Source organism: Homo sapiens, chromosome 11 (assembly GCF_000001405.40).
Source record: "Homo sapiens chromosome 11, GRCh38.p14 Primary Assembly".
Classification (NCBI taxonomy): Eukaryota; Metazoa; Chordata; class Mammalia; order Primates; family Hominidae; genus Homo; species Homo sapiens.
Genome location: NC_000011.10, coordinates 67,124,014 through 67,149,799, shown reverse-complemented (window position 1 = coordinate 67,149,799; position 25,786 = coordinate 67,124,014). Strand labels below are relative to the sequence as shown.

The 25,786-nt window shown below is 44.3% G+C and overlaps 1 protein-coding gene and 1 long non-coding RNA gene across 6 annotated transcripts in view; both read right to left on the bottom strand.

The window, feature by feature from the left end:
* Positions 1 to 25,786, bottom strand: part of KDM2A (lysine demethylase 2A) — a 138,820-nt gene that overhangs the window by 108,283 nt on the left and 4,751 nt on the right. Inside the window, exon 2 of one of the 3 annotated variants that reach the window (XM_017017391.2) lies at positions 17,727 to 17,848. The exons of the other annotated variants lie outside the window; for them this stretch is intronic. The gene's annotated coding sequence lies outside the window, so the exon portion shown is untranslated. The remainder of the gene's footprint in view (positions 1 to 17,726; positions 17,849 to 25,786) is intronic. 3 annotated transcript variants of the gene reach the window in all.
* Positions 385 to 15,189, bottom strand: LOC124902695 (uncharacterized). 3 transcript variants are annotated; one of them, XR_007062740.1, is made up of 2 exons: positions 15,153 to 15,189; positions 385 to 745 (listed from the first exon to the last, which is right to left on the bottom strand). It is a non-coding gene; the product is annotated as an uncharacterized LOC124902695 (long non-coding RNA). The 3 variants fall into 3 exon arrangements; XR_007062739.1 differs by lacking the exon at positions 15,153 to 15,189 and adding an exon at positions 14,589 to 14,627; XR_007062738.1 differs by lacking the exon at positions 15,153 to 15,189 and adding an exon at positions 6,429 to 6,587.

Sequence of the window (25,786 nt, the reverse complement as noted above, 5' to 3'; positions counted from 1 at the left end):
GCAGTGAGCCGAGATCGTATCATCGCACTCCAGCCTAGGCAAAAAAGAGAAAACACTGTCAAAAAAAAAAAAAAAAAGATTCTAATACCTAGTAATTTAATATTTATAAAATTAGATTACTATCTTTTCTATTCTTCATCTATAAAATTAAAATGCATGTGTATGTATGCATAAAAGCAAAGAAAAAGACATGGAAGGATATATTAACTAATAAAATGATTACATCTGGTGAAGGGGTTAGGATTAAGGTGGCTAAGGGGCTCTTTAGCCTTATCTGTAAAATTTTAATTTCTACAATAATACAGATATATGTTATCTATATAACTAAAAAATCAGATTTAAAAGGCGTAAAACTGGCTTGTTATATATAATAACGTATTAAGCTTTGAGAATTACAACAGATACCTTTTATTGAAAGCTCACTGTTGGCACAGCAGTCTACATTCATTATCCCATTAAATCCTCAACCAACCCTAAAAGGTATCAGTACCACCTGCACTTTAGAAATGAATAAACCTGAGACTCAGAAAGGTTAAGAAGTACCCTGTTCAAGGTCACACAAATGTTAGAACCTGGAAGGGACTCCACCAAAACCAGGTTATAGCCCTACACTAAGGGAACAGTCAATTTATTCAGGAAGGGAATACATTCAGTAAATTCAGGACTACAGAGAAAACACTTTTTAACTTTTGCCATTATTAAAGAGCTTCAGGGGAAAAAAATCTGCTTTTTCATCTGCCACCATCTGTAAAGGAAGCAAAAATGAACGTTTTGGGATATTTCTTGATTGGCTTATTAACCATGCTAAACATGTTATAACAACCCAAACCTATAAATAGTTTACAAGATTTAAGTAGATCTGTAATGCTGAGCTATGCGCCACCAGCCCCTACCCCAGCTCTTTTGGTTAATTCTAGGCAAAATACCATAGACAATTTCAGCTGAATCGCACTTTAGGGTGTGGATTATTTCTTTTTTGTCTGTCTTGTTTTGTTTTTGAGACGGAATTTTGCTCTTATAGCCCAGACAGGAGTGCAATGGCATGATCTCAGCTCACTGCAACCTCCACCTCCCGGGTTCAAGTGATTCTCCTGCCTCAGCCTCCCAATTAGCTGGGATTACAGGCACCCACCACCACGCCCAGTTCATTTTCGTATTTTTAGTAGAGACTGTGTTTCACCATGTTAGCCAGGCTGGTCTCAAACTCCTGACCTCAGGTGATCCACCCACCTTGGCCTCCCAAAGTGCTGGGATTACAGGCATGAGCCACCACGCCCGGCCGGATTACTTGTTTCTGATGGGGGAAAAAAGATATGATTGATACCTATTATTTGAGTTTTACCCCATGAAAAAACCCTTATTTTATTTTCTTTCTTTTTTGAATTAGGTCTCACTCTGTTGTCTAGGCTGGAATGCAGTGGTGCAATCACAGCTCACTGCAGCCTCAACCTCCGGGGGTCAAGCGACCCTTTGGCCTCGACCTCCCAAGCAGCTAAGACTACAGGTGTCCACCGCCACGCCCAGCTAAATTTTTTTTTTTAATAGAGATGCGGTCTTGCAATGTTGTCCAGGCTGGTCTCAAACCCCAGAGTTCAAAAATGATCCTCCCAATTTGGTCTACCAAAGTGTTGTGATCACATGTATGAGCCACTGCACCCAGCCCCAAAGTTTTCTTAAAGGAATGCAAAAGTAACAAATGCTTGTAACAAATCAGCGATCTAGTAAATACTTTAAGTCAATCAATCAATATGTATGTACTTAGCTGATTTACATTACCACTAGATGATCAGCTAGAGACATTTGCTATAAGACTCTCTAATGAGGGCCGGGCGTGGCAGCTCACACCTATAATCCCCGCACTTTGGGAAGTCGAGGCAGGTGAATCACGAGGTCAGGAGTTCCAGAACAGCCTGGCCAACATGGTAAAACCTCGTCTCTACTAAAAATACAAAAAATTAGCTGGGTGTGGTGGCAGGCGCCTGTAATCGCAGCTACTTGGAAGGTTGAGGCTGGAGAATCGCTTGAACCCAGGAGGCGGCAGTTGCAGTGAGCTGAGATTGCACCACTGCACTCCAGCTCAGGCGACACTGCAAGACTCCATCTCAAAAAAAAAAAGAATCTCTAATGAAAGGGAACTACTCAGTCTCCAGAGAAAGCCCTTGATCCTTGAAATTCTCACTTCTTCCTGCTTTAATAAGGTTTAACTAGGTTCACTGGCTCTTGAAATCCAGTGAAAGTTGCATCTTTTTTTTTTTTTTAAGACGGAGTCTCGCTCTGTCGCCCAGGCTGGAGTGCAGTGGCGCGATCTCGGCTCACTGCAAGCTCCACCTCCCAGGTTCATGCCATTCTCCTGCCTTAACCTCCTGAGTAGCTGGGACTACAGGCACCCGCCACCACACCCGGCTAATTTTCTTTATTTTTAGTAGAGACGGGGTTTCACCGTGTTAGCCAGGATGGTCTCAATCTCCTGACCTCATGACTGGCCCGCCTCGGCCTCCCAAAGTGCTGGGATTACAGGCTTGAGCCACCGCACCCGGCCCAGTGGAAGTCATATCTTTTAACCTGACCATTCCCAGAGTGGCACAAAAGATCTGGCCAAGCCTGGATGAAATACAAACAGGCGTATTTCTATTCTCTTACACCAAACTGTCAACAACAGTGTTCATTTTTAAGTTGATGACATACATCGGACTTACATGGCAGACACTTTCATAAATCTTAGCTCTGTTTCAACTTCCATCCTGTTAGGTTTTCTGGCTATTTATATCTGACTAAGCAAATTTTAACTATTGCTACAAATTAACCTTAGTCTTCAGTGAGGTTCAAGGGAATTTCAAACATTAACATGATCTCAAATGAGATCAGTAAACTATGTGCCTTTGATAAACTTTTATGAAACCTATTTGTATTCCAGTTAAGGAATAATAAATAGATAAAATCCACGAAAGTGAGGGAGGAAAGCATGGCATTAGAGTTTATAACCAATATTAAAGAATGTTCCAGGCACGGTGGCTCATGCACCAGCACTTTGGGAGTCTGAGGCATGCAGATCACCTGAGGTCAGAAGTTCAAGACCAATCTGGGCAACACATCAAAACCCTGTCTCAACAAAAATTACAAAAAATTAGCCAGGTGTAGTGGTAAGCACCTGTAGTCCCTGGTACTTGTGGGGCTGAGGCAGGAGGATTGCTTAAGTCTGGGAGGTGGAGGTTGCAGTGAACCTAGATTATGCCACTGCACTCCAGCGTGGATAACAAAGTGAGACCCTGTCTCAAACAATAAAAAGGAAGACAGACAAAGAGAGAGAATCTGTCACAGTAGATAGAAAATTATATTCAACTGAATTCATTAAATGTTTTAACTTCTACCATATGCCAAACACTGTCAATGCTCTGATAAATAAGACTGCCATGATTTTTGCCCTCAGGATCTATAAAAAGTAAGTAAAAAGACAATCGGTGTATTATTTCTTATGACAGCAGAAAAATCAAATGTTAAAGAAATGGGGGCCAGGTGCGGTGGCTCATGCCTGTAATCCCAGCACTTTGGGAGGCTGAGGCAGGCAGATCAGGAGGTCAGGAGATTGAGACCATCCTGGCCAACATGGTGAAACCCTGTCTCTACTAAAAATAGAAAAAAAATTAGCTGGGTGTGGTGGTATGCGCCTGAAATCCCAGCTACTCAGGAGGCTGAGACAGGAGAATCGCTTGAACCCGGGAGGTGGAGGTTGCAGTGAGCTGAGATCGCGCCACTGCACTCCAGCCTGGCAACAGAGATAGACTCTGTCTCAAAAAAAAAAAACAAAAAAAAACAAAACAAAAAACGGGAAGAACAGGCATTTTATATACCAGAAACAGAGAAACATGTTGAAAATCTCCCGGATACAGTTCATGAAAAGCAGGAATTAAAAAAAAAAAAATTCCCAAAGGATGTAACACTTAAGCTGAAACCTGAAACCTGAAAGGCAGAGTTAGAGAGGAAGGAAAATGTATGATTCAGAAAGAACAGCATACGCAAAGGTCCAAAAGTAAATAAGAGGGCATAAAACATTAAGAAAAGAGAAAGTAGCCGAGTATGGTATCATTTTCAAGTAATGAGAAAAGAGAAAGGGAGAATATGGTATAATGGAAAGAAATTCAACCTGAACAAAGAATACCAGGTGTCCAGTCTTTGTTCTACTGCTTAGTAGTATAACGTTAGGGTAAGTAATTTTGCCTCTATGAGCCTTTATTTCCTAATGAAAAAAAAAATGGGGTGCTACCATATTCCCCCTCAAAGGGATGGCTCAAAGATCAATTTTTATCTTTTTTTCTTAAAATGAAGTCTCACTCTGGAAGGCTGGAGTGAAGTGGCACAATCTCAGCTCACTGGCACCTACACCTCCCGGGTTCAAGCAATTCTCCTGCCTCAGCATCCCAAGTAGCTGGGATTACAGGCACACGCAACTACACCTGGCTAATTTTGTGTGTGTGTGTTTTTTGTAGACGGGGTTTCACCATGTTGGCCAGACTGGTCTCGAACTCCTGACCTCAGGTGATCTGCCCGCCTCAGCCTCCCAAAGTGCTGGGATTACAGACATGAGCAACAGCGATTAGCCTCAAGGATCAAATTTTAAAAACCATGTGAATGGTCGGGCACGGTGGCTCACACCTGTAATCTTAGCACTTTGGGAGGCCAAGCTGGGCAGATCACCTGAGGTCAGGAGTTCAAGACCCGCCTGGCCAACATGGTGAAACCCTGTCTCTACTAAAAATACAAAAAAAGTAGTTGGGCATGATGGTGGGGGCCTCTACACCCAGCAACTTGAGAGGCTGAGGCAGGAGAATCACATGACCCGGGAGGCAAAGTCGGCAGTTAGCTGAGATTGCGCCACTGGCACTCCAGCCTGGATGACAGAGCGAGACTCTGTCTCAAAAATATAAATAAAAATAAAAATCCAGGCACGATGGCTCACACCTATAATCCCAGCACTTTGGGAGGCTGAAGCAGGAGGATCACTTGAGGCCAGGAGTTCAAGACCAACCTGGGTAACATGGAGAAACCCATCACTACAAAAAAAATACCAAATATTAGCTGGGCTTCGTGGTGCGTGCCGGTACTCCCAGTTACTCAGGAGGCTGAGGCAGATCACCTGAGCCCAGGAGACTGTGGATGCAGTGAGCTATTACTGTTCCACTGTACTCCAGCCTGGATGAGCTAACAGAGCAAGACCTTGTCTCTAAAAAATTTATATTAAAAAAAATGTTGGGGCCGGGCACGGTGGCTCACACCTGTAATCCCAGCACTTTGGAAGGCTGAGGTGGGTGGATCACCTGAGGTCAGGAGTTCAAGACCAGCCTGACCAACATGGAGAAACCCCAACTCTACTAAAAATACAAAATTAGCCAGGCATGGTGGTGCATGCCTGTAATCCCAGCTACTTGAGAGGCTGAGGCAGGAGAATCAGTTGAACCCAGGAGGTGGAGGGTGCAGTGAGCAGAGGTCACCCCACTGCACTCCAGCCTGGGCAACAAGAGTGAGACTCTGTCTTGAAAAAAAAAAAAAAAAAATTTAAGGCCAAGGGCCAGGTACAATGGCTCACCCCAGTAATCCCAACACTTTGGGAGGTAGGCAGATCACGTGACATCAGGAGTTTGAGACCAGCCTGGGCAACATGGTAAAACCCCAACTCTACTAAAAAAAATACAAAAATAGCCAGGAGTGGTGGAGAGCACCTATAATCCCAGCTACTCAGGAGGTTTGAGGCAGGAGAATCGCTTGAACCCAGGAGGTGGAGGTTGCAGTGAGCCGAGATTGCACCACTGCACGCCAGTCTGGGCGACAGAGGGAGACTCCGTCTCACAAAAAAAAAAAAATAGTTTTTTTTAAGGCCAGGCACAGTGGCTCATGCCTGTAAACCCAGCACTTTGGGAGGCCGACGCAGGCGGATCACTTGAAGTAAAGAGTTTGAGCCAGCTTGGCCAACATGAGAAAACCCTGTCTGTACTAAAAATACAGAAATTAGTTGGGCATGGTGGCACACGCCTGTAATCCCAGCTACTCAGGAGGCTGAGGCAGGAGAATCTCTAGAACCCAGGAGGCAGAGGTTGCAGTGAGCCAAGATCGCGTCATTGCACTCCAGCCTGGGAGATGGAGTGAGACCCTATCTCAAAAAAATAAATAAATAAATAAATAAATAAAAAGAGAAAGACAGACAGACAAAAGCGAAACTAAAATATAATTCCACTGAGTAAGAAAAAGTAGTGATTAGGAAGGTTGTAAAGAAGCTTTTGAAGTGGTGGCAATTTCAAATCTTGACTGAGTAGTAGTTACACAGGTATTTGCTTCATGCTTATTCACTACACCATATAAATTTATGTTTTACGGACTTTTCTGCATGTGCTTCTTCCCAAGAAATTTTCAGAAACTGAACCAACACTATTTCATACCGATGCTAGTGCTCCTGAAGTCCTGTAGCAAAGACCCTCTCAGATGTTTATGAAATGAACAGACAGGCCAGATGCAGTGGCTCACGGCTGTAATCCCAACACCTTGGGAGGCGGAGGCGGGAGGATCACCTGAGGTCACGAGTTCAAGACCAGCCAACCCCGTCTCTACTAAAAATACAAAAATTAGCCGAGTGTACTGGTGTATGCCTGTCATCCCAGCAACTCGGGATGCTGACGCAAGAGAATCACTTGAACCTGGGAGGCAGAGGTTGCAGTGAGCTGAGATCATGTCATTGCACTCCAGCCTGTGCGACAAGAGCAAGATTCCATCTCAAAAAAAAAAAAAAAAAAGAATAGATATATATATATAACTGAAGTGTTTACAGATGAAGTAATACTATCTGGGATTTAATTCAAGACAACTGAGAGGGAGTAGAAGATAGAGATAAAAGAAGATTTCCAAGTTTTGATAATTGTTGAAGCTTGGCAATGGGTATATGGGTGTTAATCACACCACTATTTACTTCATATAATCTTTCCATAGTAAGTTTTTTAAATGTTTCTAATTTTAATTACTGTACTTCTAGGAATAAGGATTTAATAGGAAACACAGAAAAACAAATACATAATTGAGCTCCTTGTACTTTTATTTCTAACTTTTTTTTTTGAGATGGAGTCTCACGCTTGTCCCCCAGTCTGGAGTGCGATGGTGCAATCTCGGCTCACTGCAACCTCCGCTTCCCAGGTTCAAGCGATTCTCTTGCCTTGACGCCCCCCCAACCCCAACCCCAACCCCAACCCCAACCCCAACCCCCCGGCCAACTTCACCAGTAGCTGGGATTACAGGCACCTGCCACCACACCCGGCTAATTTCTGTATTTTTAGTAGAGGCAGGGTTTCACCATCTTGGCCAGGCTAGTCTAGAACTCCTGACCTCAGGTGATCCGCCTGCCTTGGCCTCCCAAAGTGCTGGGATTACAGGCATGAGCCACCACACCCAGCCTTATTTTTAATGCCCTAAAAAAACTAGATATACAGTGGGCGCGGTGGCTCATGCCTGTAATCCCAGCACTTTGGGAGGCCAAGGCGGGTGGATCACCTGAGGTCAAGAGTTTGAGACCAGCCTGACCAACATGGTCAAACCCCACCTCTACTAAAAATGCAGAAATTAGCCGGGCGTGGTGATGCACACCTGTAAACCATTACTCAGGAGGCTGAGCCAGGAGAATCATTTGAACCTGGGAAGTGGAGGTTGCAGTGAGCGGAGATCGTGCCACTGCACTCCAGCCTGGACGACACAGCAAGACTCCGTCTCAAAAATGAATGAATGAATGAATGAAAGAAATACCATTCATCCATAAAAAAGAATGAAATTCTGTCATTTTCGGAACATGGATGGAATTGGAGAATATTAAATAACATGAAATAAACCAGGCACAGAAAGAGAAGTATCACGTGTTCTCACTCAAATATTAAAGAACTAAAAAGCTGATCTCATAAACAGAGAACAGAATGATGGACACCAGAGGCTGGGAAGGGTGTGTATGAGGGGCAAAGGGGTGCATAAAGAGAGGATGGTTAATGGGCATGAACATACAGTTAGAAGGAATAAGTTCTGAAGCTCAATCGTAAGTAGGGTGACTATAATTAGTAACAATGAATTTTATATATATATATATATATATATATTTTTTTTTTTTTTTTTTGGAACGAGTCTCATTCTGTCGCCCAGGCTGGAATACAGTGGCACGATCTCAGCTCACTGCAAGCTCTGCCTCCCGGGTTCACGCCATTCTCCTGCCTTAGCCTCCCGAGCAGCTGGGACTACAGGTACCTGCCACCACACCTGGCTTATTTTTTGTATTTTTTAGTAGAGACGGGGTTTCACCATGTTAGCCAGGATGGTCTCGATCTTCTGACCTCATGATCCGCCCGCCTTGGCCTCCCAAAGTGCTGGGATTACAGGCGTGAGCCACCGCGCCCGGCCAATAACAATGAATTGTATATTTCAAAATAGCTTGAGAGGAGGACCTGAAATGTTCCTATTAAATATTCAAGGTGATAAGATGCCCCAAATACTCTGACTTGGTCATTACAATCTATGCATCTAATAAAGTATCACATGTACCCCCAAAACAATATGGAAAAATTGTTTCGCATATGAAGAAATGGTTAAATAATAAGGGACAGAAGTAAATGGATGGGTATCTTCAGATGCTTGTGTTCCCCAAAATACAATGTTTAGGAGAGTTCCTAATATTTTCATCGATGAGACAACGTGGAGTGACACTCCAAAGAGAGGGGGATAAACTGAGAAAGTGCCCACAAAGCTAAATGAGTAGTATTTATCAACCTTTGACTTGAGCAAGCATGAGGTAAGAGGTCTGGAGAAAAATTAAGTAATCCATGCAGTAATTAAAATATAGCGTTTTTTAAACTAGTTCTACCTAATAAAAAGTGATCCAAATCTATGGTGATACCTCATGACGTTAACCCAGAATCTCTGGTAAGGTTCTTCATAAAGTAGACCCAATAAATAACTGGTGAATTAAATATGCTACTAGAGACAGAAAGGTTAATATAAATAAATCAAAAGTATACTTGTAACTTTTTTTTTTTGAGACAAAGTTTCACTCTTTTTGCCAGGCTGGAGTGCAATGGCACAATCTTGGCTCACTGCAACCTCCGCCTCACGGGTTCAAGCAACTCTCCTGCTCCAGCCTCCCAAGTAGCTGGGATTACAGGCGCCTGCCACAACGCCTGGCTAATTTTTTGTATTTTTAGTAGAGGCAGGGTTTCACCATGTTGGCCAGGCTGGTCTCAAACTCCTGACCTCAGGTGATCCACCCGCTTCCACCTCCCAAAGTGCTGGGATTACAGGAGTGAACCATCGCACCAGGCCTACTTGTAACTTCTTTTAAGGTTTTCTTGAGACAGTCTTGCTATGTTGCTCAGGGTGGTCTTCCGACCTATATTCTTTGTATAAAACCATGATATTTTTTTTTTGAGACAAGATCTCACTCTGTCACCCAGGATGGAGTGCAGTGGCGTAATCAAAGCTCACTGCAGCCTTGACCTTCCAGGCTCAAGTGATCCTTCCACCTCAGCCTCCCAATTACCTGGGACTAGAGGTACACGCCATGACAGCCAGCTAATTTTTGTATTTTTTGGAGAGACGGGATTTCGCCATGTTGCCCAGGTTAGTCTCCAACTCCTGAGCTCAAGCCTTGAACTCCTCCTGCCTTAGCCTCCCAAAGTGTTGGGATTATAGGTGTAAGCCACCGTACCCAATCCACAAACCATGGTATTCTCTCTCAATTGGTGGCACCACCCATCAACCAGGAACTCAAGCTAAGAACACAGGAGTAGGCCAGGTGCGGTGGCTCACGCCTATAGTTCCAACACTGTGGAAGGCCAAGATGCACACATCAGTTGAGGTCAGGAGACCAGCCAGTGCAACACAGTGAAACCCGGACTCTACTAAAAAAATACAAAAATAGCCAGGCATGGTAGCACATGCCTCTAATCCCAGCTACTCAGGACCTGAGGCAGAAGAATCACTTGAACCCGGGAGGCAAAGGTTGCAGTGAGCCAAGATCGTGCCAGCGCACTCCAGACTGAGTGACAGAGCGAGACTCTGTCTCAAAAAATAAATTAAAAAAAAAAATAGCAGCAGCAACCTTGCAACCTTTGGGCCAGTCGTGGTGGCTCATGCCTGTAATACTAGTACTTTGAGAGGCTGAGGCAGAAGGATCACTTGAGCCTAGGAGTTCAAGACCAGCCTGGGCAACCAACGTAGACAGATCCATCTCTAAAAAACAAAAAGAGGCTGGGTGCAGTGGCTCACGCCTGTAATCCTAGCACTTTGGGGGGCCGAGGTGGGCGAATCACCAGAGGTCAGGAGTTCAAGACCAGCCTGGCCAACACGGAGAAAACCCATCTCTACCAAAAATACAAAAATGTGCTGGGCGTGGTGGTGGGTGCCTGTAATCCCAGCTACTTGGGAGGCTCAGGCAGGAGAATCATTTGAACCTGGGAGGCGGAGGTTGCAATGAGCTGAGATCATGCCACTGCACTCCAGCCTGGGGGACAAAGCGAGACTCCGTCTCAAAAGAAAAAAGAAAAAAGGAAAAAAAAAAAAAGTAGCAATCTTTGGCTGGCAGGGCTGCAGGGTACACTTACTTGCCCTGGCTTGGTTAACTGGTGTCACCAGGAAGGGCGTAGTAATGGGCCCCTTCTGTACTCACTGAAGGTTATTTAAATAAGACTTAAGGAGCATGGTGGGGGGAGAAGCAGTCTTCAGAAACTTAATACTACTGCCTGTGATTCAAGGATACTGTGCCTAAGATACCATTAGTGGTTTAGAAAAATGTCAGCAAATTCAACTGGCAGGAAATATGAAGAAACGATTTTAAAATAACTTTAAGCTGTGAAGTGTGAAATTAAGGTAACTACCTCTAGTTAATTTTTTGTTTCCAACAAACAGAAAAACTGCTACAACAATTCCAATGGTTCTCAAACTTTACCATCTATCAGAATCACCTGGAGAACTAGTTGAAACACAGGCTGTTGAGTCCCCACTGCCAGACTTTCTGATTCAGTACGTTTGGGGTAGGATCCAAGAATGTAGTGGCACAATCTTGGCTCGCTGTAACCTCCACCTCCCAGGTTCAAGCAATTCTTCTGCCTCAGCTTCCCTAGTAGGTTGGATTACAGGTGCACACCACCACACCTGGTTAATTTTTGTGTTTTTGGTAGACATGGGATTTTGCCATGTTGGTCAGGCTGGTCTCGAACTCCTGACCTCTGCTGATCTGCCCACCTCAGCCTCCCAAAGTGCTGGGATTACAGGTGTGAGCCACCGTGCCCAGCCCAAGAATTCCCTTTCTAACTAGTTCCCAGGTAATGTGGTCTGGGGAGCACACTTTGAAAACAACTGGTTTAAATTATTAGAACTAAGAACCTTGTAGGTGAATAAAATAAAGCTAGATAACTAACCTATGCAACCTGATTAGCAATCTAAGGTTCTTTTCATTGTTGAAATTCACTTACTGTGTTCTCTACATTTTATGTATTTTTAGGACTACATAACACATTTTTGTTCAATTCAATAGACAAGTTTTGAGCACCTGAATAAAGCATATTCCTTGACTTACAGAAGTCTACTCTTACTAGGTAAAAAGAGACTCACGGTCAAATACAGACTTGTGCCACTTAACGGCATTTCACTCAACAACTGTATATGTGACGGTGGTCCTATAATAATACTATAGTTTGGCCAGGCGCGGTGGTTCACGCCTGTAATCCCAGCACTTTGGGAGGCTGAGGCAGGCGAATCACAAGGTCAGGAGATAGAGATTATCCTGGCCAACATGGTGAAACCCCGTCTCTACTAAAATACAAAAAATTAGCCGGGCATGGTGGTACATGCCTGCAGTCCCAGCTACTCAGGAGGCTGAGGCAGAAGAATCACTTGAACCTGGGAGGCAGAGGTTGCAGTGAGCCGAGATCGCACCACTGCACTCCAGCCTGGGCGACAGAGCTGAGACCCCTTCTCAAAAAAAGACCCAATCATATGCCAGTAAGTCCTTCCTTAGACCCAGAATCATACCCAATTACCTACTCAACAGTTCTACTGTGATATTTCACAAGCACTTCTCATTTAACCTTTTCAAGTTTTCTCAAAACTGAACTTATGCTCCTTTGCTCAGTCCCCAAACCTGCTCTTCCTTCAGTGTACCCTATTTCAATAAAAGAACTGTATTATAAGCCATGCACTAGGAAAACTTGGGAGTCATACTTATATTTACCTCCTTTACACTGACCCTCAAAACATTCAATGAAAAGTCCCATGATTCTATTTCATATATAGTTCTCATAGAATCAATCATAGAATCTCAATCATAGAATCAATCTCCTCTCTAGTTCTGTCAGCACTCAACCATACCACATCATTGTCTTACCTGAACCAATATAATAGCCTCCTAATTAATCTCCCTAAATCTATTCTTGCCCTCTCCCTGACCCTTTCTCTACATTGCAACCACTGACATTGGTCCAAACGCATTACTACTCTGCTGAACTTCTGCCTTCCCAATGGCTTCAGGATAATGCCCTATTTGATCTGACCTGTCTACCTTGTCAAGAATTTTAACTCTCTCCTTCACTTATGTTTCTTCAGTTACAATGGCTTTTTTGGTGTTTTGTTTAGTTGGTTGGCTTAGCTGGTTGGCAGGTTTCTCAAACATGTCAAATTCTTTCCAACCTTAAGAGTTTCTGCATGTGCTAATCACTCTGCATCTTTGCCTGGTTACCTCCTAGTCACCCTTTAGGTCTCAACTTCAAAGCCTCTCTCAGGAAAGTGTTCTCTAATGTTTCTATCTACTACTGAAGTCTAGATTAGCTCACTCTATCATATACTGTTACTGCAGCCTATGTTTACCTTTGTAGCCCTTTGTGTAACTGTAATTAACATTACTAGTATTTGTTTAATGTCTGACTTTTCCACCAGACCAGAAGCTCCATGACAGAGGGACCATACCTGTTTTATCCATTACTGTAAGCCAGAGCGCCCTACATGGTATCTGAACATGGTTAAATGCTTAGTATTATTTTCTCATTCCTACCTTAGGACTTTGCATTGCCTGTTCCCTATACCTAGGGCCCCAGACCTGGTCCCCAGAACCCCTGAACATCACAAGATTGGCTGTTCATCACTCAGGTCTCAGTACAAAATGCCACCTTCTCAAGAAGCCTTTCACTGATCACTCAATCTCAAGGAATTCTCCATCCTACAAGTATCTCATCATCCTTGTAATTTCTTCAAAGCACTCAGCATTATCTGAAACCACAGCATTTAGAAGACCCAAATAAAATGCTTAGTACAACATAAGCACTCAACAAACATTTGTTTAAGTGAATGAATCTCCTGAATGAGAACAGATGACTTGGGAAACACCCTCAATTCATCAGTGAAACATTTATAAACTGTGTCCCAACAAAGTTGATGAAGAGGCAGTATAACTTAAGTATGCTCTGGAATCACCAGACTGTTTACTTTGAATCCTGGCTCTGTCCCTTAACTGGATAATCTGAGACACTTAACTGCACTTTGGATCTGTTTCCAAAACTTTAAAATGGGAGTCAAAGAATCCATTTCAAAGGGTTCTTGAGAATTAAATTAGTGAGTATATCGAAAATGCCAGTACCAAGCACACAGTACACATTCAATCAATGTGTGCTATTATCCATGAGATTGGGTTTTTATCTCCTACTTTCAAATATGCAGTGTGACTTTTCCTTTACCTTATCCCCCAAAAATGGTTTCTGGCCTGGTGAAAAAATCAGATATTAAACAAACACACTAGTAACGTTAATTATAGTTACACAAAGGCAACAAAGGTAAACACAGAATGCAATGAAAGTATATGATAGGATGAGCTATCTAGAATCTAGACTTCAGTAGTGGGTAGAAACATCAGTTCATAGTTCTACAGGGTGTGCACCATTGAATTCCAAGGGCATCTTTATTCACATAGATTAAGATATGTGAATGGCAACTTTTGGGATTACCCAACATGTAGCACTGTCCACAAGTTCTGGCAACCCCAAGAATGGTGATGATCAAAAGACTAAGATGGTGATGATCAAAAGACTAAAATGACAAAAAGACACAAGAGACAAAGAAGTACTTTGCAAACTATAAAACTACTATAAAACGATCACTACATTTATGAATATATATTATCTTGAGGTCACTCTCAGAAACGAGTCATTTACGCAGATTACTGCCTTGACAAACAAAAAAGTTGCTAACGTCTGTGATCCAGGATCTAAAGAGATGAATTAAGGCTGAGGGCCACAACCAGCTCATGAGGCAGTTTTTCAGAGTGATCATGCGGTCTTCAGCTACAGGGCAATTAAAAATATTTTAACATTTGCTCACAACAGCACCACAACTTTTATCTCATTTCCCTATCCTTCAAAGAGAGTATCAAAAGGAAATCTGTGCTGGGCGCGGTGGCTCACGCTTGTAATCCCAACACTTTTGGAGGCCGAGGCAGGTGGAACGAGGTCAAGAGATCGAGACCATCCTGACCAACATGCTGAAACTTTTTCTCTACTAAAAATACAAAATTAGCTGGGCAGGGTGGTGCATACCTGTAATCCCAGCTACTCGGGAGGCTGAGGCAGGAGAATCGCTTGAACCCAGAAGGCGGAGGTTGTGGTGAGACGAGATCGCGCCATTGCACTCCAGCCTGGGCAACAAAAGTGAAACTCCGTCTCAGGGGGAAAAAAAAAAAAGAAAATCTTATCTGCTGTAGCTTAATGACTGATGTCTAGACAGTGAATGCTTATGTTACCGAAATAAGTTGATCTTTGCGTATGTTAAAAGGAGTAAAGAAAATATGCAACTGGGTTGAGGATTGTCATGACCATGAAGTTAGTTTTGTGAAAATTCAACAACAGAAAAAGGGCTTCATGCTTACTTTTGCAAAGCATGATGTGGGAAACACAATGTGAGACTGCTTTTGAGATGTTTTGTGTTAGATTTATCTAAAATTCAAGGCCAGGTGAGGTGGCTCACACTTGTAATCCCAGCACTTTGAGAGGCTGAAGCAGGTGGATCACCTGAGGTCAGAAGTTCGAGACCAGCCTAGTCAACGTGGCGAAATCCTGTCTCCACTAAAAATATAAAAATTAGCTGGGCGTGGCGACGCATACCTGTAATCCCAGCTACTCAGGAGGCTGAGGCAGGAGAATCACTTGAACCCAAGAGGCAGAGGTTTAAGTGAGCCGAGATCGCACCACTACATTCCAGCCTCGGCAACAGATTGACTGTCTCAAAAAAAAAGTAAATAAATAAATAAAACTTTAAAAAATAAAATTATAAAATGAATAGCAGATAATCAGGACGGAAACATGCAACCTATCTACTGGGTATTTCCCTTTACATCAGGGTTTGTCAACCTTGTACTACTGACATTCTGGACCTGTTCATTCATCGTAGTTAGGGCTGTCCTGTGCACTGCAGAATGCTTTAGCAGCATCCCTAGCCTCTACTCATTAAATACCAGTAGCACTACCCCAGTCTGACCATCAGAAATGTCCACTGCTAAATGTTTCCTTGGGGGCAAAATCATCCCCAGTTGAGAATCTGCTTTAAATCTTCTAGTATCTCCAACTGTCTAAAGCCTCATCCACTCATATTCTCTCCTCAAAGTTTCAAAAAATCTTTCCCCCAGTCTTCCTGGTAATCCAAGCTAAATCCCAAAGTCTACCTTAGTATTTCATTTGTCTTTGCCTTCAAAATCCTCAGAAAGCACACTGTACAACTTCAACAAGGACAGGTCAGTTTTCTTGTTTAAAACCACAGTTGGTGCCGGGCATGGTGGCTCACGCCTCTAATCCTAGCACTTTGGGAGGCCGAGGTGGGAGGATCACGAGGTCAGGAGTTTGAGACCACTCTGACCAACATGGTGAAACCCTGTCTCTACTAAAAATACAAAAATTACCTGGGTGTGGTGGCGCAGGGCTGTAAACCCAGCTGGCTGAGGCAGGAGAATCGCTTGAACCTGGGAGGCGGAAGTTATAGTAAGCCGAGATGGCGCCACTGCACGTCAGCCTAGGAGCCAGAGACTCTGTCTCAAAAAAAAAACCACAGTTGGAAGCCGGGTGCGGTGGCTCACGCCTGTAATCCCAGCACTTTGGGAGGCCGAGGTGGGCAGATCACCTGAGGTCAGGAGTTCAAGACCAGACTGGCCAACATGGCAAAACCCCGTCTCTACTAAAAATATAAAAATTGGCCGGGCGTGGTGGTGGGAGCCTGTAATCCAAGCTACTGGAGAGGCTGAGACAGAAGAATCACCTGAACCCAGGAGGCAGAGGTTACAGTGAGCAGAGATTAGGCCACTGCACTCCAGCCTGGGCAACAGAGTGAGATTCTGTCTCAAAACAAAAAATAAAAATAGGCCAGGCACGGTGGCTCACACCTATAATCCCAGCCCTTTGGGAGGCCAAGGCGGGTGGATCACTTGAGGTCAGGAGTTTGAGACCAGCCTGACCAACATGGTAAAACACCATCTCTACAAAAAAAAACACAAAATTAGCGCAGTGTGGTGGCGCACGCCTGTAATCCCAGCTACCTGGGAGGCTGAGGCAGGAGAAGTGCTTGAACCCTGAAGGCGGAGATTGCACTGAGCCAAGATAGCACCATTACACTCCAGCCTGGCCAACAAGAGTGAAACTCCCTCTCAAAAAATAAATAAATAAATACGAATAAAAGCACAATTGGTAAGAGACTTGATACTAAAACTCAAGGCTCAACATCCCCAATTAAGTACTCTTCTCTATCATAACATGCTGCTATCCATCAGTTACAAAGTTTAGTCAGTCCTTCACTGCCAATGTGTCTTGCTTCTATCTCTTCCTTTCCATTTCTACCTATAACCCACAGCAATGGTTCTCAAACTTTTGCGTGGATCAAAATCACCTGTCTTGTTAAAACACAGATTGCTAGGCCCCAACTCCAGAGTTTCTGGTTCAGTAAGTTTGGGGTGGGGCCCAAGAATTTGCATTCTAATATGTTCCCAGACACTCAGTTAATGCTCATGCTGCTAATGAGAGACCTACACTTTGAAAACCACTGCCTTAAGAGTTCAGGGTTCCTGTCACCTCAAAAGGCAAGCTATTTGAATTTCTTTCTAGACCACCCCGACCTGAAACTGGAGACATTACTCCCAAAATGCCACTTTGGCCAAATCACTGTTATATTAAAAACAAACTGGCTGGACGCAGCGGCTCATGCCTATAATCCCAGTACTTTGGGAGGCCGAGGCAGGCGGATCATTTGAGGTCAGGAGTTCCAGACCAGCCTGGCCAATAATAGTTGAGACCCCGTCTCTACTAAAAATACAAAAAATTAGCCGGGCGTGGTGGCACGTGCCTGTAATCCCAGCTACTTGGGAGGCTGAGGCAGGAGAATCGCTTGAACCCAGGAAGCGTAGGTTACAGTGAGCCGAGATCGTGCCATTGCACTCTAGCCTGGACATCGCAGTGAGACTCCATATCCAAAAAACAAAAAAAACAAAACTTCTAATGGCTATGTCCATACTTGGCTTTCAAAGTTGTTTAAAATTTCTACCCAACGTTATCAGCAGTGCCCCTCAAAAGACACCACCTACTTCAGTCTGCTCATCTATCAGAGATCCACAGAATAGGCCTTATAGTAGTAGTATAAAGCTTATGCTGTCTTTACCACCTGAAAGGCCACCCTCTTCCCTCCTCCTCTCTACCTACCTGAAGGAGGCCTTCACCAATGTATTTGCCAAAAACATTCGTTTGGTCACTATTTGCTGCCTTTTATCTTTAGGGTTTAACTTTTTACCAAGTACTCACAGACAGAGAAAAACCCCAAGAACCTAAAATTTAAAACAGAAAACAAGGATATGAGTGACATACATAAATAAAAGCCTTGACATACACACAAACTGCACAATACTGCCGTTTTAACAGATCAAGTGCAATAAGTTCAAAGTTCATGAAAAGAAAGAATGTGCCATCTTTGTTTGAAACATAATCAAACACTGGCTATCAAATATTTATAGCTATCTAATTCAGGATGTTAAGCAGACAGACGTTAGCAAGAAAATGTTAAAGTAGGCGGAAAGTCGTGGCTCATGCCTGTAATCTCAGCATTCTGGGAGGCCAAGGCAAGTGGATCACCCGAGGTCAGGAGTTCCAGACCAGCCTGGCCAATATGGTAAAACCCCATCTCTACTAAAAATACAAAAATTAGCCAGGCGTGGTGGCACACGCCTGTAATCCCAGCTACTAAGGAGGCTGAGGCAGGAGAATTGCCTGAACCTGGGAGGCAGAGGTTTCAGTGAGCCAATATCGCACCACTACACTCCAACCTGGGCGACAAGAGCGAAATTCCATCTCAAAAAAAAAAAAAAAAGAAAAGAAAACACTAAAGTAGCCTCAAAAGAGAGAAAGTACTCAGCCTACACACCGTGGAGTAAGAGTGTTATTATTATTATTTTTTTGAGACGGAGTTTCGCTCTTGTCACCCAGGCTGGAGTGCGACGGTGAGATCTCAGCTCACAGCAACCTCCACCTCCCAGGTTCAGGCGATTCTCCCACCTCAGCCTCCCGAGTAGCTGGGACTACAGGCGTGCACCACCATGCCCAGCTAATTTTGTATTTTTAGTAGAGATGGGGTTTCGTCATGTTGGCCAGGCTGGTCTTGAACTCCTGACCTCAGGCAATCTGCCCGCCTCGGCCTTGCAAAGTAGTTGGGATTACAGGCGTGAGCCACTGCACCCGGCCTGTTTTCTGTATAAAGTACACAAGAGACGTTGGATGGTATGAGAGAAGAAACCTGGGAGTTTGGAGTCAGGGTACCTGAGTTCAAGGTCTGGTTTCACCTCTTACCGACTCTGTGATCTTGGGCAAGTCATGGCCCCTCCCTGGGCCTCTCTCTCCATAATTAAAAAAAAAAAAAAAATCAAGGTTTAAAACGATACCATCTACCTTCCAGGGTTGTTTTGAGAATTAAATAAGGTAATATATATGAAAGAACCTAGCCTACTATCTGGCATATAATAAATGTTTACTGAATTTTAACCCTTTTTGATGTGAAAGTGCAATGCAAAAATAAAGTATTATTCCAAAAGTGAGATAAACAGAGAAAATTAATGAAACCTAATTAAGAGTGTCCGTTACCCCCCCAAAATAGAAAGATACAAAGAATGTATGTCTATCTACATGATATACATAATGTATCAATTCCTTGACTTAATAACCAAAACCAAGACCCGAGAATAACACAAACATCATCACTTGCAACTTCACAGCTTTAAGGCTGTCTAAAGGTCAGCAAAACCTAGGCACAGTTTAGGACAGGATTAGAACAGGAGAGCTTAAGGCCGGGCATGGTGGCTCACGCCTGTAATCCCAACACTTTGGGAGGCCGAAGTGGGCGGATCACTGGAGGTGAGGAGTTTGAGACCAGCCTGACCAACATGGTGAAACCCTGTCTCTACTAAAACAATATAAAAATTAGCCAGGTGGTAAAGAGCAGTCAGGTGCACCTGTGAGGAAGTCAGGTGCCGTGACTCAGACTCGAGTAAACACGAAGTATGAGTTCAACCCAGAAAACTGCTCTCTCTTGGGTTTTGCAAACTTGTCAGAAATAAATCACTAACTTTAGAAAGCTTTGGTGCAAGAAAAAAAAAAAAATTAGCCAGGTGGGGTGGCGGACGCCTGTAATCCCAGCTACTAGGGAGGCTGAGGCTGAAGAATCACTTGAACCCGGGAGGCGGAGGTTGCAGTGAGCAGAGATCGCACCATTGCACTCCAGCCTGAGTGACCACAGTGAAACTGTCTCACAAAAGAAAAAAAAAAAAAGAATAGGAGAGCTTAAAATTCAGACTAAACTTTAATTTTTTTAATTTTTTTTTTTGAGACAGAGTCTCTGTCGCCCAGGCTGGAGTGCAGTGGCACGATCTCGGCGTACAGCAACCTCTGCCTCCCGAGTTGAAGCGATTCTCCTGTCTCAGCCTCCTGGGTAGCTGGGATTACAGGCATGTGCCACTATGCCCGGCTATTTTTCTTTTTCTTTTTTTTTTTTTTTTTGAGATGGAGTCTCGCTCTGTCACCCAGACTGGAGTGCAGTGGCGTGATCTGGGCTCACTGCAAGCTCCGCCTCCCGGGTTCACACCATTCTCCTGCCTCAGCCTCCTAAGTAGCTGGGACTACAGGCGCCCACCATCACGCCCGGCTAATTTTTTGTATTTTTAGTAGAGACGGGGTTTCACCGTGTTAGCCAGGATGGTCTCGATCTCCTGACCTTGTGATCCGCCCGCCTCGGCCTTCCAAAGTGCTGGGATTACAGGTGTGAGCCACCGCGCCCGGCCTATGCCCGGCTAATTTTTGTATTTTTAGTAGAGACGGGGTTTCACCATGTTGGTCAGGCTGGTCTTCAACTCCTGACGTCAAGCATTCCACTGGCCTTGGTCTCCCAAAGTGCTGGGATTACAGGCCTAAGTCACTGTACCTAGACAGACTAAACTTTTAAAATCAACTAGACACTTTATTATTTGTTCTAAATGGTCCAAATACCAAACATCATCAATGTGGTAGTCTGACATGTGTGCTACACATACGTTTTTATTTGTTATAGTTTAGGTCTCTGTTTCTTATCTACACTGCAAGACCCAATATCCAGATATCCTCCTCATCCCTACCTGCCAAAGTGTCCTCCATTCTAATTTATTCATTTTTTTAGAGACAGGGTCTTGCTCTGTAGCCCAAGCTGGAGTGCACTGGCACAGTCATAGCTCATCACAGCCTTAAGCCCCTGGGCTCAAATGATACTTCTGCCTCAACCTCCTGGGTAGCTGGGACCACAGGTGAGAGCCACTGCATCCAGACCCTCCTCCACTCTAGTGGCTTAATCCTAGCATTCAAGAAAATTGGTAGCAAAGAAGAGCATATATCCAGGCTTTCAACAATATCAACAAATACTTATTCAGCACTTGCTATGTGTTAGGCCCTATTTGAAGCATCTAGCACACAGCATAAACAAAAACAAAGCCCCAACTCTCAAGAAGCTTATACTCTAGTGGAAAGCTATACACAAAGTACAGTAGTGATTAATGCTCAGCAAAATAAAACAACAGAAAATAATAGGGCTTAAATTTAATCCTCATTCTAGGGGCCCAAAATATAGCTTACTGTGGAAGACTGATGTATAAGAATAAAAAATTAGTTGTCATTATCTGCATTTTTGAATCACCCAAAAATGGTCAAGTTTTTCCTACATTATTAGGAGGGAGGCCGCAACAATGAGACCAGTGCACTCTCTACCAACACAGACTAAAGACTAAATCTCATAAAATAATTAGAAATAAACTAATTCAACAATGTAGACCACATATAATTTTTTCTAGCTAACATTATACTTTCATACTAGAAAAAAAAAAGGCTTAAAATAAATATTCTATTTTATCTAGTCCATTCTCAGTCAGAAAGACCTCAGAGTGGGAACGGGTCCAGGCGCAGTGGCTCACACTTATAATCCCAGGAGCTGGGGAGGCTGGAGAGGCCTCCAGGCAGGAGAGAGGATCACTTAAGCCCAGGAGTTCGAGACCAGCCTGGACAACACAGTGAAAACCTGTCTCTAGAAAGAATTTAAAAATAAGCCAGGTGTGGTGGCATGTATCTGTGGTACCAGCCACTCAGGAGGCTGAGGTAAGAGGATCACTTGGGGAGGCTGATGCTGCAGTGGTAGTGCCATTGCACTCCGGCCTGGGCAACAGAGCAAGACCCCGCCTAAAAAAAAAAAAAAAAAAAAAAAAGGCCGGGTGTGCTGGCTCACAACTGTAATCCCAGCACTTTGGGAAGCCGAGGCAGGCAGATCGCCTGCCTGAGGTCGGGAGTTTGAAACCAGCCTGGCTAACATGGTGAAACCCCGTCTCTACCAAAAATACAAAATTAGCCGGGCATGGTGGTGCATGCCTGTAATCCCAGCTACTCAGAGGCTGAAGCAGGAGAATCGCTTGAACCCAGGAGAGGGAGGTTGCGGTGAGCCCAGATTGCGTCATAGCACTCCAGCCTCGGCAACAAGAGCAAAACTCCATCTCAAAATAAATAAATAAATAAATTAATTAATTTAAAAAAGATAATCTGGTAATCGCTGCTGAATTTGGGGAGGCACTTTCAAAGGTAAACCAAGGAAAGGTGGGACTATTGCCAGAGTTTCAGTGGCCGCAGTTCCTTGTAACAGATAAATGATTTAGCTATTTCATAATTATATGTAAGACAGGTTAACAGGATTGAACATGCGATAATAACATCTTTTAGAAAAGCTCTCAATTTCTTATTTTTTATTTTTTTTTGCTAGGTGAAAGTGCTAAAAACTCTCAATTTCATCAAGATTGACAAGCACACCAGGCATAGTGGCTCACACCTGTACTCCCAGCACTTTGGGAAGCCAAGGTGGATCGCTTGAGTCTGGGAGTTCAAGACCAGACTGAGCAAAAAAAACCAGACCAGCCTGAGCAGCCCGAACAGGGATAGCCTGCCTTTACAGAAAAAATTAAAAATTAGCCAGGCATGGTGGCACATGCATGCCTGTAGTCCCAGCTACATGCTGAGATGGGAGGACCACTTGAGCCAGGCGGTTGAGGCTACAAAGAGGAATGATCACACCACTGCACTCTAGCCTGGGCAACGGAGTGAGACCCTGTCTCCAAAAAGAAAAAGAAATACAGAAATAAATCATTGTTACCTCAGAACAACCCACCCCAGCATCAAAAGGAAGCTTCTATCCCTCCCACTTGAGTACCTTCTCAGGTATACAAACTTGCATCAGAGTTCTGGCTTTGTTCTGGCAATCAATATACAAAAGTACTAATATTTTCATTACCTAAAAAAAATTAAGTCTTACTTAAGAGAAGCCAAACATTGTTTATCCACCCTTGTCATTTCCTAGCTGTTCCACTCCAACACTGCAGAATATTCTGGTTCCAAGTTCCAGAAAGTGTAGCTTATATTCCAAATCTACACATACACACCATCTTCAAAGGTGCATTTCTTTTCCACACGTAATAGGTAAATAATGAAGCTTGGCAAAAAATACTTTTTTTTTTTTTTTTTTTGAAATGGAGTCTCGCTCTGTCGCCCAGGCTGGAGTGCAGTGGTGTGATCTCAGCTCACTGCAACCTCCACCTCCCGAGTTCAAGCAATTCTCCTGTCTGAGCCTCCTGAGTAGCTGGGACTACAGGCGCCTGCCACCACATCCGGCTAATTTTTGTATTTTTAGTAGAGACAGGGTTCCACCTTGTTGGTCAGGCTGGTCTCAAACTGCTGACCTCAGGTGATCCACCCGCCTCAGCCTCCCAAAGTGCTGGGATCACAGGCATAAGCAACCGCACCCGGCCAAAAAACAATCTGTGTGTGAGAAACGGGGGTCTATGTTGCCCAGACTGGTCTCAAACTCCTGGGCTCAAGTGATCCTCCCTCCCTGGCCTCCCGAAGTGCTGGGAATATAGGTGTGAGTCACCATAACTGGCAAAAGACAATTTTTTTAAACTAGTTATTCCATTTTTTTTTTTTTTTTGAGACGGAGTTTTGCTCTTGTTCCCCAGGCTGGAGTGCAACGGCATGATCTCAGCTCAGCACAACCTCTGTCTCGCGGGTTCAAGCGATTCTCCTGCCTCAGCCTCCTGAGTAGCTGGGATTACAGGCATGCGTCACCACGTTCGGCTAATTTTGTATTTTCAGTAAAGACGGGGTTTCTCCATGTTGTGTCAGGCTGGTCTCGATCTCCCGACCTCAGGTGATCCACCCGCCTCAGCCTCCCGAAGTGCTGGGATTACAGGCGTGAGACACTGTGCCTGGCCTTTTTTTTTTTTTTTTTTTTTGAGGTGAAGCCTTGCTCAGTCACCCATGCTGGAGTGCAATGGTGCAATCTCAGCTCACTGCAACCTCTGCCTCCCGGTTCAAGTGATTCTCCTGACTCAGCCTCCTGAGTAGCTGGTATTACAGGCGCCCTACACCACGCCCGGCTAATTTTTTTTTTTTTTTTGAGATGGAGTCTCACTCTGTCGCCCAGGCTGGAGTGCAGTGGCGCAATCTCTGCTTAGTGCAACCTCCACCTCCCAGGTTCAAGCGATTCTCCTGCCTCAGCCTCCCAAGTAGCTGGGATTACAGGCACGCACCACCACCCCCAGTGCCCAGCTAATTTTTGTATTTTTAGTAGAGATGGGATTTCACCATGTTGGCCAGGCTGGTCTCAAACTCTTGACCTCAGGTGATCCTCCTGCCTATGCCTCCCAAAGTGATGGGATTTCAGGTGTGAGCCACCACACCCAGTCCTTAACTAGTTATTTCTGATTTTTTTTTCCCCCCAAAAAATGACTTGTTGGGAGGCCAAGGCGGGCAGATCGTTTGAGCCCAGGAGTTCAAGACTAGCCTTGGGAACACGGCAAAACCCCACCTCTACAAAAAATACAAAAATTAACCAGGCATGGTGGCACAGGGCTGTAGTCCTAGCTACCTGGGAAGCTGACGTGGGAAGATCACTCGAGACCAGGATGTCGAGGCTGCAATGACCTATGATCATGCCACTGCACTCTAGACTGGGCGACAAAGACCCCTATCTCAAATAAAAAAAAAAGAAAAAAAAAAAAGAAAGTTCCCTCCAGGCTGGGTGCGGTGGCTCAAGCCTGTAATCCCAGCACTTTGGGAGGCCGAGGCAGGCGGATCACGAGGTCAGCAGATCGAGACCATCCTGGCTAACATGGTGAAACCCCATCTCTACTAAAAAATACAAAAAAAAATTAGCCGGGTGTGGCGGCGGGCGCCTGTAGCCCTAGCTACTCGGGAGTCTGAGGCAGGAGAATGGCGTGAACCCGGGAGGTAGAGCTTGCAGTGAGCCAAGATCGAGCCACTGCACTCCAGCCTGGGCGACAGAGCAAGACTCTGTCTCAAAAAAAAAAAAAGAAAGAAAAAGAAAGTTCTCTCCAAATAGATGATGTGTCCTCTTACACAAACACTGCTAAGATAGCACATTAAACAAAAGAAAACATATGCTAGTTAAGGGTTAATGTATGCAACAAGTACCAATCACCTTACAACTTAAAGAAAAAAAGAAAAAAAAAAATCTTGCCAAGACAAAAGTCAAGAGTACTTGACTCTCCTTCCCACTATTCCTCCCTACCTTGTTTAAAAAAAAAAAAAAAAAAAAAAAGTGGGCCAGGCACAGTGGCTCGCACCTGTAATCCCAGCACTTTGGGAGGCCGAGGTGGGTGATCATCTGAGGTCAGGAGTTCGACACCAGCCTGCCAATATAGCGAAACCCCGTCTCAACTAAAAATACAAAAAAATTAGCCGGGCATGGTGGCAGGCGCCTGTAATCGCAGCTACTTGGGAGGCTGAGGCAGGAGAATCATTTGAACCTGGGAGGCAGAGGTTGCAGTGAGCCAAGATCGTGCCACTGCACTCCAGTCTGGGTAACAGAGTGAGTCTCCATTTCAAAAAATATATATAAAAATAAAGTGAAGCCGGGCACGGTGGCTCACACCTGTAATCCCAGCACTTTGAGAGGCTGATGTGGGTGGATCATCTGAGGTCAGGAGTTCAAGACCAGCCTGGCCAACATGGTGAAACTCCATCTTTACTAAAAATATAAAAATTAGCTGGGTGTGGTGGTGGGCACCTGTAGTCCCAGCTACTCAGGAAGCTGAGGCAGGAGAATCACCTGAACCCGGGAGCCAGAGGTTGCAGTGAGCCCTGATAGTGCCATTGCACTCCAGCCTGGGCAACAGAGCGAGACTCAGTCTCAAAACAAA